This window comes from Homo sapiens, chromosome 19, assembly GCF_000001405.40.
Source record: "Homo sapiens chromosome 19, GRCh38.p14 Primary Assembly".
NCBI lineage: Eukaryota > Metazoa > Chordata > Mammalia > Primates > Hominidae > Homo > Homo sapiens.
In genome coordinates, this window is record NC_000019.10 from 36,981,407 (window position 1) to 36,998,196 (window position 16,790).

The 16,790-nt window shown below is 40.4% G+C and overlaps 1 protein-coding gene across 3 annotated transcripts in view; it reads left to right on the forward strand.

The window, feature by feature from the left end:
* Positions 1-16,526, forward strand: part of ZNF568 (zinc finger protein 568) — an 81,601-nt gene extending 65,075 nt beyond the window's left edge. For all 3 annotated transcript variants that reach the window (NM_001204838.2, NM_001204839.2, XM_017026772.2), the window contains 3 exons: positions 9,770-9,893; positions 10,345-10,440; positions 14,911-16,526. In NM_001204838.2, coding sequence (NP_001191767.1) covers positions 9,770-9,893; positions 10,345-10,440; positions 14,911-16,193 — 1,503 coding nt within the window. In that variant the 3' untranslated portion in view covers positions 16,194-16,526. The remainder of the gene's footprint in view (positions 1-9,769; positions 9,894-10,344; positions 10,441-14,910) is intronic.
* Positions 16,527-16,790: the final 264 nt, after the last annotated feature.

Here is a 16,790-nt window from a genome sequence, read left to right on the forward strand (position 1 = left end):
GGAAAGTTGACATTTTTACGGTATTGAGTCTTCCTCTGCCTCTAAATAACTCTGCTTACTTGAGTCTTGTGGAATGGTTTTCAATAAATATTTTATAATTAGAGTCTTACACATCTTTTGTTAATTTTATTTCCAGGTATTTTTATATTTTGTGTTTTTCTTAGATGACATTAACTTTAGAATATAGACTGGGTGCTGTGACTCACGCCTGTAACCCCAACACGTAAGGAGACCGAGGCAGGCGAATCACTTAAGCCCAGCAGTTTGAGACCAGCCTGGGCAACATAGTGAGACCCCATCTCTACTATAAATAAAAAATTAGCCAGGCATGATGGTGCATGCCTGTAGTCCCAGCTACTTGGTAGGCTGAGGTAGGAGAATCACTCAAGCCCAGGAGGATGAGGCTGCGGTGAGCTATGATTATGCCACTACACTCCAGCCTGGGTGACAGAGCAAGACCCAGTCTCAAAAAAAAAAGTAAATAAAATAAAATATAATTTTCTCATTGTTTCTGGTATATAGACTTGCCATTGATTTTTTTTTTTCTTAAAACTCCTATGACAGATTATTGCAGTTGATTTTGAGATATTGATTTTATATCCCCCCACCTTGCTTAACTCTTATTTATTCTGACGTCTTGTAGATTCTTTTGGATGTGGGGTCATCCAACTTGATCATATCATTGATGAATAAAGATACTTTTTGGTTGTAAATAATTGTCTTTGTCTATTAGTATTGATTTCTTTTCTTCTTTTTTAACCTTTATTTTAATTCTTATCTTGCTGCACTGGCTCCACCTCCCAGAACAGTTTTGAATGGTGAATATGGGCACCCTGTCTTATTCACAGTTTTAGATACTTCACTTTTACTTATGTTTGCACTTGTTTTTTTTGTAGGTGTCCTTTATCAGGTTAGGGACGTTGCTTTTTATTGCTAATTCGCTCTTGAGTTTTTATCATGAAGGAATATTGCATTTTTAAAATGCCTTTTCTGCATCCATTGAATTGATTGGTCAGGTGTGGTGGCTCATGCTTGTAATCCCAGCACTTTGGGAGGCTTAGTCGAGCAGATCACCTGAGATCAGGAATTCGAGACCAGCCTGGCCAACATGGTGAAACCCCATCTCTACTAAAAATACAACAACAAAAAATTAGCCGAGCGAGGTGGCAGGTGCCTGTAATCCTAGCTATTTGGAAGGCTGAGGCAGGAGAATCGCTTGAACCTGGGAGGCAGAGGTTTCAGTGAGCCAGGATCGCGCCATTGCACTCCAGCCTGGGTGACAAGAGCAAAATTCCATCTCAAAAAGAAAAAGAAAAGAAAAGAAATGATCCTAAGTGTTTTCTCTTTAATCTGTTAACGTGCCTAATAATTTTAATTTATTTCCAGTATCATGTACACCTTTATTGGGAAAAACCTAACTTAGCCATGATGTGTGATGAATTTTTACATATTACTGGATTCAGTTTGCTAATAACTTGCTTAGAATTTTAAATCTGTGGCATGTGTAAGACTGGCCAGTAATTTCAATTCTTCATAATGTCTTTATACAAGTTACTCTATCCCAGGAGAACTGTGGCCTTGGCCTGTGAACCAAGATTGTTTTCTACATTTTTAAATGGTTGGGGGAAATAATCAAAAGAATTATATTTTATGACACATGGAAATTATATGAAATTCAAATTTTAGTGTTCATGAATAAAGCTTTATTGGAACATAACCACATTCATCCATTTATGTAACATCTATGGCTGCTTCTGTGCTGCATGGCAGAGTTGAGGAGTTGCAGCAGAGATGGTATGTCCCACAGAGCCTAAGATACTTACTATTTGGCCCTTGACAAAAAAAGTTTGCTGACCTCTGGTCTAGCCTCATAAAATATATCAGTTTTCCTTTTCTTTTTCCCATGGTAGGATCTGGGAGTACTCATGTTATCAATGGTGTGAGCAAGGCCACTCTTCAGATTATTTGTTTATTCCCTGTCTTCTATGCCATTTACTACCCGCATCCTCCCCCCGCCCATAAGGCAGTCGTGTTAATGTGCATCGTTTTCTTAGTATGTATTCATTCATGCAAAATGTTTTTCTCTTTTGTTAAGGTCCAGGGTGGTCAGTTTTTCAAAATCTTCCATATATGATTGAGAAGAATGTTATTTGAATTGAGTGCATTGTTCTATATGCAGCCATTAGATCAAGCTTAATTTAGTATCTAAATATTCTGTTTTTACTGACTTTTTGTCTGTTGTATCTATCAGTTATTTCTAGTGTTTTGTTAAAATCTGCCACTGTGATTAGGGTTCGTCTATTAGAGTTTCTATTTCATTTATGCATATGTGTATGTATATATAATATGTATTTATTATTTATTAGGTAAGCATAAAATTATCCTTTTCTAACTGTCATCTTTCTGAATATTTATGTTTTGGATGTGTCTCTAATAACCAGCGTAGAGCTGGGCTTTGGTTTTTGACAACTTTGACCAACTTTGTCCTTTTTTTTTTTTTTTTTTTTGTTGAGACAGAGTCTCGCTCTGTCGCCCAGGCTGGAGTGCAGTGGTGCGATCCCGGCTCACTGCAACCTCCACTTCCTGGGTTCAAGCAGTTCTCCTGCCTCAGCCTCCCGAGTAGCTGGGATTACAGGTGCATGCCGCCACGCCTGGCCAATTTTTTTGTATTTTTAGTAGAGAGGGGGTTTCACCGTGTTAGCCAGGATGGTCTCGATCTCCTGACCTCATGATCCCCCCACCTCGGCCTCCCAAAGTGCTGGGATTACAGGCATGAGCCACCGCACCTGGCGACCAGCTTTGTTCTTTAACGAGAGTATTTAGTCATTTACAGTGCTTGTAATTACTAATATAATTGAAGGTATCATTTTTGTGCTTTTAATTCTACCTTTTCTGTATTTCATTATCTTCATTTCATTTTCCCTTCTATGAGTTTGAAAGTTATAAGCTATTTGTGTTTATTTAGTGGTTACCTTGAAAATTTCAATATACTTTCTTAACTTACTAGTGTCTAAAACTAAAAAATATTATTATATTCTTGGTAAATAAGGAAGTAGGATATATTCTAACTAATCAAACAACTTACATTATTGTCAGGTATTTTTCTTCTTTTTTTAACCCATAAGAAATTTTTATTTTATGTATTGAGTGTTATCTTAGATTATCCATGTATTTACGACTTTCTTGGTTCACCATTCTTTCTTACATGTCAAGCTCTCCATCTGGGATCACTTTCCTTTAGATGGAATTAAATAGTAAATTTCTCTCTGATTTTGGTGTTTGTTTTTTTTTTAACATCTTTATTTGCCCTCATTTGTGAAAGGTGTTTTACCCTCACACTGGGATATTCCGCTGTCTTCTGGTTTACATTTTTGTTATTAAATAGTCATCTGTCAATCAGACTTTTTTTTTTCTGTAGATAATCTATCTTTAATCTCAAATTGCTTTTCACGTATTCTCTTTGTATTTAGTGCTCTGCAGTTTTGGTGTGATTGTCTAGGCATGGATTTATTTTTATTTATTCTGTTTAAGACTTATTGGGCTTCCTGAATCTGAATAATGCCAATTCTGAAAATTTCTTAGCTGTCCTGTCTTCCAATACTGCCATTTTCTTAATTCTTTCTCTTTTCTCCTTCTAGAACTTCAGTTAAATATCTATTAAGCCATCTCACATTATCTTCTTAATCTCTCTTCTGTACATCTGCTCATTTGTCTTTTTGAATTGCATTCTGCATAATCTCTTTTTATACCTTGCAGTCCAGTAATTTTTCTCTTCAGAGAGATTTATTCCAGCCATTGTATGATTTAAGTATGTTTTTTATTTTATATTTTTATTTCTTTTCCTTTTTTTGAAATCTACTGTCATCTTTGTGAAGTTTTCTTATTACATTGCTTCCATTTTAAAAACATGTAATATGCTTGTTTTATAATTTTTGGCATTATCTGTATAATATATGAATCTTTTACAGAGGTGATTCCTCCTGCCCCTCAACATTTTATTAGGGAAATTTTCAAAACATAATGAAAAGTTGAAACAATTGCATGACTGATTTTCCTGACTCTTTGTTCATGGAATTATGCCTCTTTGCATGTTTTTGTTTGTTTGTTTGTTTTGTTTTGTTTTGTTTTGTTTTTAAGACACAGTCTCACTGTGTCACCCAGGCTGGAGTGCAGTAATGCGATCTTGGCTCACTGCAGCCTCCACCTCCCAGGTTCAAGCGATTCTTGTTTCTCATTCTCCCAAGTATCTGGGACTACAGGTGCGCACCACCATGCCCGGCTAATTTTTGCATTTTAAGTAGAGATGGGGTTTCCCCAGATTGACCAGGCTGGTCTCGAACCCCTGACCTCAAGTGATCCGCCCACTTTGGCCTCCCAAAGTTCTGGGATTACAGGCATGAGCCTCTACACCTGGCCATTTTTTTTTAAATTTGATTTTTTGTTTAGGCAAAATTCACATAATATATAGTTAACCATTTTCAAGTGCATAGTTCAGTGACATTTAGTTCATTCACAGTGTGGTGCTGCTTTATTTTTGACTCATAGGTTATTTTCCTTGGAATTCTACCCCATAGATTCTTGAGGCCTGATTGAAGGTTGTTCCTCTAGGGCAGATCTGTGTTTGCTTCTACCAGGAGCCCTGCCAAACCAGGACCACCATAAAGTAAACACATGGCAAGTTTTTTAGATCCACCTTAGTATTGTTATGTGAACTGCAGGCCTGTGTGAGGGCTGGCTTGTAGTTACAGTTCCTCAGAGGAAAATGTTTCCCTTCTGCCATCTGCCAAGGTTCCAGTCAGGCAGTTTTCCTAGCGGACCCTAGGAATGGGAATGCCACATCTGGTTTTCCCTTACTCTAAGGGCGTGGTTCTAGAGGTCCCAGGTCTTTGTAGTATGGAATTAATTAGACCCCCCAACTTGGCCAGCTATAGGCTTGATCTTCTCTCCACCTGCTCCTTAATATCATGAATGTCAAAGCTTATGGTCTTCTGGGCTCCATAGACATTCCCTGGGCAAAATAAGCCTCAGTGGCTCAGCTTACCCCTCTCTGTTCCCATTTTGACATAGTTTTATCTGCTGAAGATTACTTTACTTCTCTGTCAGCTCATCCTTGAATTCTAAAATATTTTTGATATTCAATCTCTTATTTTTCAGCTGGTGATTTGGTTGTAGTAACTAGTCCCCCACAGAGCCTGGTGTCCTATGATTGATTTTCTTTTTTTCCCCCCTCCGTGACTGAGCTTTTTAAGAGGAAATGCATGCTAGGTAAGAGTTATCTGCGACCCTGGTGCCCACGTAGAGCCAGAGTCATGGGGATTTGATTCGTATTTTCGGATAAGAGAATTTTGTTGACACAGCTGCTCCTCTCTTCCCATTCCCTTCCGCCTTTGATCTCCCTTCATAGACTGCTGTGATCTGCAGTGACAAACACAGCAGACCTAGCATTTTCCGCTCCCCTAAGTGCAGGGGCCAGCTGAGGGTTCTTTCAAAGGATCAGGAAATTCCCAGGTTGCATCTACAAGAGCCAGAAGTTAGAAGGCAACCAGCTGCAGACTTGGTTATTTCTCAGTAGATTCAGAACCCAGCATTGCCACTGTAACTGCAGATTTGAGTAAATGACTTCTCTTCTCCAAGCTAAAGTTTCCTTTCAGTTAGGATTCATGACCTTCTCATGAGGATTAATATATGTAAGGCACCAGGAACTTAAAGTGCTTAAAGAACAATGATTGTCCTTGAGATGCAGTGTGCAGTGTGCAGTGTACAGCAGTAAGGTTAGGGGTAGTAGCAGGAGAGAATGTCAGGCAGGAAGGCCATGGGTAATCTCGGTTTGGAACCAGGATGTACTGGCCGTGAGGATTCCTGGAACTGTGGTTTCATGCATTGTGTATCTGGGTAATTGAGCCCTGCTGAGGCTGCTGAGAGCCTGCTGATCCTGTGGGTTGTCTGGCTCAGTGCTGGTCATTCTGGAGAGTCTTTGCAGAATGAGGTTTTAGTTTTAGTTCCAAAGGCCCCAGTTCTGGGATATACGAACAAAGCCCAGGAAGTGGCTGGTGCATAGAACACCAGAATTTATTCCTCTATCTCTATTAGGCTTGAGGGAGGCTGGAACCCTCTGTTGTAGAAATCTTTGTCCAGAGCTGGGCCTGCCCAGGTATCCTGTGCTCCTGGGCCTTGAGGGCTCCCTCAAGTCTTTGGGGTGCCTTCAAGTCTTTGGGGTGCCTTCCATGGCTGAGGGTCTCAGTGATATCCAGGTTGTACAAAAGGGAGCCCAGGCCCTGGGCTCTGATCAGCTCCTGACAGTGGGGAAGTTGTTTCTTCTGAGTCTGTTATTCTATAGTTGGATTCCCTGGGATTCAAGAAAGACAAAGGTTTGTTCATTCTTTCTCAAATCTCAGAGAGAAAGAAAACACAGACTCTGTGTGTGTGTGTGTGTGTGTGTGTGTGTTGGGGTACCAAAAGCAGGGATGGGGTGAAGGGATTCATTCTCAGGCCTTTGGGGACCTTGAGGTCAGTCTGATGAATTTTGTCAACAAAATTCTCTTATCCAAAAATATCAGTCAAATCCCCATGACTTGCTTTTTCTTCCTTTTTTGCTTTCTCAGGCTTTCTCTAGGAGAAACCTAGGGTATAAATTTTGTAGTTGTAAAAGCTATTATCTATGTGTTAGTATGTCTCCTCTCCTTCATTGAATGCATTCTTTCATTTTTAAATTTTTTATTTTTATTTTTGTAGAGATGGGGTCCTGCTATGTTGCCCAGGCTGGTCTTAAACTCCTGGACCCAAGCGATCCTCCCACCTCCACCTCCCAAAGTGCTAGGATCACAGGCATGAGCCATCACACTTGGCCTGAATGCTTTCTTTTCTGTTTTTTATTTTAATTAACAATGTATTAGTCCCTTCTCGCATGCTATAAAGAAATACCTGAGACTGGGGATTTTATAAAGAAAAGAGGTTTAATTGGCTCACAGCTCCAGCTCCACAGGCTGTTCAGGAAGCATGATGCTGGCATCTGCTCCGCTTCTGGGGGTGCTCAGGAAACTTACCATCCTGGTAGAAGGCAAAGGAGAAGCCAGCACTTCACCTGGCCAGAGCAGAAGGAAGCAGGGAAGGTGCGGGACACTTTTAAACAGCCAGATCTCGTCAGAACTTACTATCATGAGAACAGCAACAAGGGGGTGGTACTAAGCCATTCATGAAGTATTCACCCCTGTGTTCCAGTCACCTCCCGCCAGGCCCTCCCTCCAACATCAGGGATTAGAAATCCACATGAGACTTGAGTGGGGACACAGATCCAAACCATATCAGACACATTGTAATCCTAGCACTTTGGGGTCATATTTATGGGGTACAATTTGATGTTTCAGTACATATCTATGTGGTATAATGAGCCAGTCAGGGTAGTTAGTGTATCTATCACCTCATGCATTTATCATTTCTTTGTGGTAAGAACATTCAAAAGCCTCTCTTCTAGCTATTTTGTAATATACAATATTTTATTGTTAAACCATAGTCACCCTACTGTGCAATAGAGCACCAGAATGTATTCCTCCTGATTGTAACTTTGTACCCACTGACCAACCTCTCGCGTTTTGTACCCCCACCCCGTCTCTGGTAACTACTGTTCTGCTCTCTGCTTCTGAACGCCTTCTTTTTGCTTTAGAAGATTTGAACAGATTGAACAGATTTCTTTTTCCTAAAACTTCTTGGCTTCCCCAGGGACTTGTTCCCCAGTTCTTCCCATTCCAGTCAGTAATGCTATCAAAGACTGCTATCTCTTTTATTGATTGATTGATTGAGACAGAGTCTCCCTCTGTTGCCTAGGCTAGACTACAGTGGCATGATCTTGGCTCACTGCAACCTCTGCCTCCCAGGTTCAAGCGATCCTCCTGCCTTAGCCCCCCTAGTAGCTGGGATTACAGGCACGTGCCACCATGCCCGGCTAATTTTTGTATTTTTAGTAGAGACAGGGTTTCACCATCTTGACCAGGCTGGTCTCAAACTCCTGACCTCAGGTGATCCACCCACCTCGGCCTCTCAAAGTGCTGGGATTTACAGGTGTGAGCCACCATGCCTGGCCAAGGCTGCTGTCTCTTAAGGGCCCCTCTGTTCTCCAAGAAGTGTTTAGGTATTTATCAGCAAACCTCTTAGCATTTATAAGTTTCTTTGAGACAACATCTTGCTTGGTCACCCAGGATGGAGTGCAGTGGCACAATCATGGGTCACTTCAGCCTCAACCTCTGGGGCTCAAAGAGCTCCTCCTGCCTCAGCCTCCCAAGTAGCTGGGACTGCAGGTACATGCCACCTTGTCCGGCTAATTTTGGATTTTTTTGTAGAAACGGGATCTCACTGTGTTGGTCTTGAACTCCTGGGCTCAAGCAATCCTCCCACCTTGGCCTCCCAAAGTGTTGGGATGACAAGAGTGAGCCACTATACCAGGATTAGCATTTTTTAGATGCATGTTCTTCCACCGAGAGTACTGATGGAGTAGGAAAACCAATCCTTGCTGGAAACTTTCATACCTCCCTTCTTGGAGCTGTGATTTGATGAAGTGGAAATGAATGGTTAAGTGGAATCACATATTGCAAACTTGAGTTTTCTAATTAGACAAGAAAGGAATTGATGTTGATTTATTGTGTTGCAGTCTCAGTATCAGCCAGTATCTCTAGCTGTCTGAGGATTTTAGGACTGGGGATATCCTGAGATATGTAGATTGTATGGAGTTACAGTGTATTCCCAAGGAGTCTGTGCCAGATGGATAAAGTGTGTCCATTTTGAACTTGTGTAGTATGTGCGCACCTCGTGTGACATCGTTGTGAGTCTGGATCTTTCTCCATCAGTTCTGGTAGCTAAGGAACAAGGAGAGTATGGTTGGGGTCATTTGTGGTAACAGGAACAATTTAGCCAGATGTATAAATTGTTGAGAAATGACCAGGCACGGTGGCTCATGCCTGTAATCCCAGCACTTTGGGAGGCCAAGGCGGGTAGATCACTTGAGGCCAGGAGTTCAAGACCAGCCTGGCCATCATGGGGAAACTCTGTCTGTACTAAAAATACAAAAATTAGCCAGATGTGGTGGCCCATGCCTGTGGTCCCAGCTACTCAGGAGGGTGAGGCAGGAGAATCGCTTGAACCTGGGAGACAGAGGTAGCAGTGAGCGGAGATGGTGCCACTGTACTCCAGCCTGGGCACCCAAGTGAGACTCTGTCTCAAAAACAAAAAATTGTTGAAAAATAATGAATGACTATTATAACTGCAAAAGAACCTTTAGAAAACTTCTCCAACCTACTTCCTCAAAACAAGAACATTGTATATATTATATGAGGAATCATGCAGCCAGTAAAATTGCTGTCTATTTAAGAATTTTTGGTGATGTAGAAAACTGATTCAGGATTTAATTTATTGAATGGGAAAGAGGAAGAGGCAATGAGAAGTTTGTGTGCTTAACATAGGGTGTTCCGTGTACTTGCACGTACAGTTTCATTTAATTGGGAAACACCACTTACATGGACTTAGTTTATTCTCTGACCTGGGTAGATAATGGAAGTGCCCAGAGGCTACCTTTGCAGGAGTAAGCATGCCCAAGAACCATGTGGGCACTTCACTCTGATCACCCCTGTTTCCACACCGACCCCTCCATGTTGAAGGAGCCAGTATGGCCTGTTTTCCTAATGGAACTTCCCTATTGAATTGCTTTCTCCATTTTCTTTTATGTTGTCTTAAAGATTTTGTCCATGAATTTCACAAATGGTGTATTTATTTTTGGTTTCAGGGCTTGAAGTTCAAAGATGTGGTCATTTACTTCTCTCAAAAGGAGTGGGAATGCTTGCACTCTGCTCAGAAGGATTTGTACCGAGATGTAATGTTGGAAAATTACGGCAACCTGGTCTTACTGGGTAACTTTATCTGCCCCTCCGTACACCCCCTGCCCCGCCAAACACACAATTGGCCTTCTGGAATTCTTATGTTCTTTTTTCTGAGTTTGTCCCAAGTGCTTTTCAAGTACCTGGATGAGTTAATGTTTCTTGCTCACCAAAAGAATGGTTTGTCTCTTGTGAAGTTGGAAATTGGCTGTTCCAGCAGGCACCTTTATCTTCATTATTTTCATACCTCCCTTCTTGGAGCTGTGATTTGATGAAGTGGAAATGAATGGTTAAGTGGAATCACATATTGCAAACTTTTTTTCTAATTAGACAAGAAAGGAATTAATGTTGATTTATTGTGGTGCTCTGACCCTCACTCCTTCTTCTGACCCTTAATCTACCTGCTCCTCTTTCTTGGTAATTAGGGACTGATTTTTAATTCTGACACCCACAACAAAACCTTGTTCCCTTTGTTTTTGAGCAGGGCTTTCTGATACTAAGCCAAATGTGATCTCCTTATTGGAGCAGAAGAAAGAGCCCTGGATGGTTAAGAGGAAGGAGACAAAAGAATGGTGTCCAGGTGAGTGACGATGAACTGGAATGGGGAGGCCATAGCAGGTGGTCACTTAGCTCATCTGTGAGAAGGCAGCACTTCAGGGATTTTGGTAGGAAAGCTGCCTAAAAAGGCTTGAGATCTGGGGAAGAAAGTAAGGATGTTGTAATCCCAGCAGTTTGGGAGGCTGAGGCGGGCAGATCACAAGGTCAGGAGTTCGAGACCAGCCTGACCAACATGGTGAAACCCCGTCTCTACTAAAAATACAAAAAAATTAGCCAGGCCTGGTGGTGCGTGCCTGTAATCCCACCTACTCAGGAGGCTGAGGCAGGAGAATCACTTGAACCTGGGAGGCAGAGGTTGCAGTGAGCCAAGATTGTACCACTACACTCCAGCCTGGGCAACAGAGCAAGACTCCGTCTCAAAAAAAAAAAAAAAAAAAAGGAGGCCAAGGCAGGCGGATTACGAGGTCAGGAGTTCAAGACCAACCTGGCCAACATGGTGAAACCCCATCTCTACTAAAAATACAAAAATTAGCTGGGCATGGTGGCAGGTGCCTGTAGTCCCAGCTACTTGGGAGGCTGAAGCAGGAGAATTGCTTGATCCCAGGAGGCAGAGGTTGCAGTGAGCCAAGATCGCGCCACTGCACTTCAGCCTGGGTGACAAAGCGAGACTCCATCTTGAAAAAAAAAGAAAGTAAAGCATGTTTCAGCTCCATTTACTAGGCTCTCTTGCTCACCTCCTATAATACCTCCCCCCTCATTTCAGAGAGGAAGTACCCTCTTTCTTTCCCTGTGACAACCATTTTACTTGCATTTTGGGTCCAGTTTTGTCCTGACTTTTTAAAACAGTTTTATTGAGATATCATAAAATTCATCCATTTAAAGTTCAGTAATTTTTAGTCAGTTCACAACCATCACAACAGTCTAATTGTAGAACATTTGTATCACTCAAAATGAAACGCCATACCCATTAGCAGTCACTCCCCAAATCCAGCCCTAAGCAACTACTGATCACTTTCTGTCTACATAGATGTGCCTGTTCTGGACATTTTATATTAATGATATCACACAACATATAATTTATGACTGGCTTTTTTCACTTACCAGAATGTTTTCAAAGTTCATCCATAGTGTAACATATACCAGTGCCTCATTCTTTTATATTGCCAAATAGTATTCCATGGTATAGATATTACCATTCTGCTCATTCATCAGTTGGTAGACATTTGGGTTGTTTCTACTTTTAGGCTATTTTGTATGACTAAAGCTGCTATGAACATTTGTATATAGGTTCCCTTCTTTTCTTCGTTTGTTGAGTATTTTTGTCATGAAAGGATTTTAGAATACTTTTTACCATTACTTTTTCTGCATCTATTAAGACATCTGTAGTTTATGTCCTTTGTTGTATGAATATGTTTGATTACATTGATAACTTTTGGATGTTGAACCTACCTTGCATTTGTAGGATAAATTTTACCTGGATGTGGTATATAATCCTTTATGCTGTTGGATCTGGTTTGGTCTTTTTTGTTGAAGATACTGGTCTGTAGTTTTCTTGTGATATCTTTGCTTTGTCTGGTTGGTATCAGGGTAATACAGGCCTCAGAATTAGAAAATGTTTCTTCGTCTTCTGTCTTTTTGAAGTGTTCATGGAGGATTTATATTAAGTTTTCTTTAATGTTGGGTAAGTGAGGCCATTTGCTCCTCGGCTTTTCTTTATGGGAAGATTTTTTTGCTCTAATTCAGTCTCTTTATTTGGTATAGGTCTATTCAGGTATTCTATTTCCTCTTGAGTCAATTTTGGTAGTTTTGGGTCTTTTTAGGAATTTGTCCATTTTGTCTAAGTTATCTAACTTATTGGCATATAGTTATTCGTAGGAGTTCCTTATAACCCTTTTTATTTCTATAAGGTCAGTGGTGATATCTCCTATTTCATTCCTGATGTTAGTATTTTGAGACTTCTCTCTTTTTTTGTTGGTCAATCTAGCCAAAGATTTGCCAATTCTGTTGATCTTTTCCAAAGACCAACTTTTGGTCTCATTGATTTTCTCTGTTGTTTTTCTATTCTCTATTTTGTTCATTGCTGCTGTGATCTTTTATTATTTCCCTCCTTCTGGAAGCTTTATGTTTTTGTTTATTCTTTATTATCTGGTTCCTTAAGATATACAGTTAGATTGTTGATTTGAGATATCTCTGTTTTTTTTTCTTTTTTTTTTTAATATAGGTGTTTTTAGCTGTAAATTTCCCTTTAAGCCCTGCTTTAGCTGCATTTCATAAGTTTTGGTATGTTGACTTTTCATTTATCTCAAAATATTTTTTAATTTTCTTCATGATTTCTTTAACACGTTGGTTATTTAGGAGTATGTTATTTAATTTTCACGTTTGTGAATTTCCCAGATTTCCTTCTGCTGTTGATATCTAAGTTCATTCCATTGTAGTTGCAAAACATATTTTGTGTGATTTCAATCCTCTTACATTTATTGAGGGCTGTTTTATGGCTTAATATATGGTCTAACCTGAAAAATGTTCCATACATGCTTGAGAAAAATGTGTATTCTCCTGTTGTTGAGTGGAATGTTCTACAAATGTTTTCTTAGGTTTAATTGGTTTATAGTGTTTTTCAAGCAATCTGTTTCCTTGTTGATCTTCTGCCTAGCTATTCTATCCATTATTGAAAGTAAAGTATTGAAGTCTTCAATTTGTTCAATTGTTTGTGGCTCTCTTTAATTCTTGTGTTACATATTTTGGGCCTGTGTTATTAGGTGTATATGTACTTACAACTGTTACAGTTTTCTGACTATCATTATATTCTCTTATCATTATAAAATATCCTTTTTTCTGATTTGTGTGTTGTTGTTGTTTTTTTCTGAGATGGAGTCTAGTGTTGTTGCCCAGGCTGGAGTGCAGTAGCACAATCTCTGCTCACTGCAACCTCCACCTCCCAGGTTGATGTGATTCTCCTGCCTCAGCCTCCCGAGTAGCTAGGATTACAGGTGCCCGCCACCACACCCAGCTAATTTTTGTTTCACTGTGTTGGCCAGGCTGGTCTTGAACTCCTGACCTCGAGATCTGCCGGCCTCAGCCTCCCAAAGTTCTGGGATTACAAGCGTGACCCACCGCGCCCGGCCAAAATATCCTTTTTTCTCACTGGTTACAATTTTTGTCTTAAAGTTTATTTTGTCTGGTATTAGTAATGCTATTTTACCTCATTTTTGGTTACTCTTTGCATGGTATATCTTTTTCCATTCTTTCATTTCAACTATTTGTGTCCTTGAATCTAAAGTTTGTCTCGGGGGCTGGGCATGGTGACTTACACTTGTAATCCCAGCACTTTGGAAGGCCGAGGTGGGCAGATCAATTGAGGTCAGGTGTTTGAGACCAGTCTGGCCAACATGGCGAAACCCTGTATCTATTAAAAATACAAAAAATTAGCCAAGCATGGTGGCCCGTGCCTGTAGTCACAGCTACTCAGGAGGCTGAGGCATGAGAATCACTTGAACCCAGTGAGTGGAGGTTGCAATGAGCTGAGATCACGTCATTGCACTCCAGCCTGGGTGCCAGAGTGAGACTGTGTCTCAAAAACAAACAAACAAGCAAAAAACAGTGTGTCTCTGGTAGATTGCATATACTTGGATCACTTTTTTTTAATCCATCCTGCCAACCTCTTCTTGTAGTGCTTAACAAACTCTGTAGTGTTTAATATGTTTACATTTAATACACTGATGGGGTAGGATTTACAATTGGTATTGTGGTATTTGTTTTCTATTTGTGTTGTTATTGTTTTATTCCTCTATTCTTCCATTACTACCTTCTGTTATATTACATGAATATTTTCTAGAGTACCATTTTTGTTCCTATATTGTTTCGTATACAGTAGTCTTTGAAATTATTTTCTTAGTGGTCGCCTTCAAGATTATAATTAGCATTTCAACTTAAAACAATCTAGTTTGGATTAATACTAGCTTAACTTTAATCTTACATAAATACTTTGCTCCAAAATACTTCTGTTCCCACCTCTCTTCTTTGTACTATTATTGTCATACAAATTACATATTTATACATTATAAGCCAATATTGGCAGGATAATAACCCCCTCAAAGATGTCTATATCCGAATCTCTGAAACTTGTGAACGTGTTACTCTTACATGGTAAGGGGGAATTCAGGTTGCAAATCTGCTCAACTTCAATTAGGGAGAGGATCTTAGGTTATCCAAGTGGGCCCAGTGTAATCACAAGGGTCTTTAAATGTATCAGAGATGTGGCTGGGTGCAGCGGCTCACACCTGTAATCCCAACACTTTGGGAGGCTAAGGTGGGCAGATCGCTTGAGCCCAAAAGCTCCTCGTTTTCTCATTTTTCACTTCCCTTTTTTTTTGTAATTGCAGTGTAAAGAATTGCTTATTAACTATTTTTATTTTGTCATTTCTACTTTCAGGACTTTTCTTTGTCCTGCAATGTGAAAATACCTCCTATTTTCTTTCTTATTATTTTGCAGATTGGGAGTTTGGAAGAGAAACCAAGAATTTATCTCCAAAGGAAAACATTTATGAAATTAGATCACCACAACAGGAGAAGGCCAGAGTTATCAGAGAAATCAGATGCCAGGTGGAGAGACAACAGGGTCATCAGGAGGGACATTTCAGACCAGCTGTAATACCATTTACTTCCATGCAGTGCACAGCCCATAGAGAATATCAGTGGCTTCATACTGGAGAGAAATCCTGTGAATGCAGGAAATGTAAGAATGCTTTTAGGTACCAGTCATGTCCTATTCAACATGAAATAATTCATAATAAGGAAAAAGAACCTGAATGTGGAGAATGTAGGAAAATCTTTAATAGTGGATCAGACTTGATTAAGCATCAGACGCTTCATGAAAGCAAAAAACATAGTGAAAATAACAAATGTGCCTTTAATCATGATTCTGGAATTACTCAACCTCAGAGCATTAATACTGGAGAGAAACCTCATAAATGTAAGGAATGTGGGAAAGCCTTTCGTTCCAGCTCACAAATTAGTCAGCATCAGAGGATGCATCTTGGTGAGAAACCCTATAAGTGTAGGGAGTGTGGGAAAGCCTTTCCATCCACTGCACAGCTTAATCTACATCAGAGGATCCATACTGATGAGAAATACTATGAAAGTAAGGCGTGTGGGAAGGCCTTTACCCGTCCCTCACACCTTTTTCGACATCAAAGAATCCATACGGGTGAGAAACCCCATAAATGTAAGGAATGTGGAAAGGCTTTTCGTTATGACACACAGCTGAGCCTTCATCAGATAATCCATACTGGTGAAAGACGCTATGAATGCAGGGAGTGTGGAAAGGTGTACAGTTGTGCCTCACAGCTGAGTCTACATCAAAGAATTCATACTGGTGAGAAACCCCATGAATGTAAGGAATGTGGGAAAGCCTTTATCTCTGATTCACATCTTATTCGACATCAGAGTGTCCATACTGGGGAGAAACCCTGTAAGTGTAAGGAATGTGGGAAGTCCTTTCGTCGTGGCTCAGAACTTACCCGACATCAGAGAGCTCATACTGGTGAAAAACCCTATGAGTGTAAGGAATGTGAAAAGGCCTTTACTTGTAGCACAGAACTTGTTCGACATCAAAAAGTTCACACTGGGGAGAGACCCCATAAGTGTAAGGAATGTGGGAAGGCTTTCATTCGAAGGTCAGAACTCACACATCATGAGAGAAGTCACACTGGTGAGAAACCCTACGAGTGTAAGGAGTGTGGGAAGCCCTTTGGTGGTGGCTCAGAACTTAGTTGACACCAGAAAATTCATACTGGTGAGAAACCATATGAATGTCAGCAGTGTGGAAAGGCCTTCATTCGGGCCTCACACCTTAGTCAACATCAAAGAATTCATTCAGGACAGAGGAGTGAATGAAGAAATGAGGGATGGCTCAGAATTTGATTGACATGAGAAAGTTCATACTGATTTGGAAAAAAAAACTTATGATTCTAAGTGTGAGACACCTTATAAATGTTAGGAATTAGCAGGGATTTATTTATGTTTCAGAATTTATTACACATCATGATACAACTGGTGAAAAATTGAAGACCTCCATGAATGTAAAGAAAGTAGGGAGGCCTTTTTGGTGGCTCAGAACGAAGTCAACCTCAGGGAATTCAAATGGGGGAGAGGAGGGCAGTGAATATGCTGAGAGGAGTTAATCATTCAGACCTTTATCAGCAGCAGAGTCATTAGCCCTTAGGGGAAATCAGATGATTCAAAATATAAATGCAGGCCGGGCCCGGTGGCTCCCGCCTGTAATCCCAGAACTTTGGGAGGCTGAGGTGGGTGGATCACAAGGTCAGGAGATAGAGACCATCCTGGCCAACATGGTGAAACCCCGTCTGTATT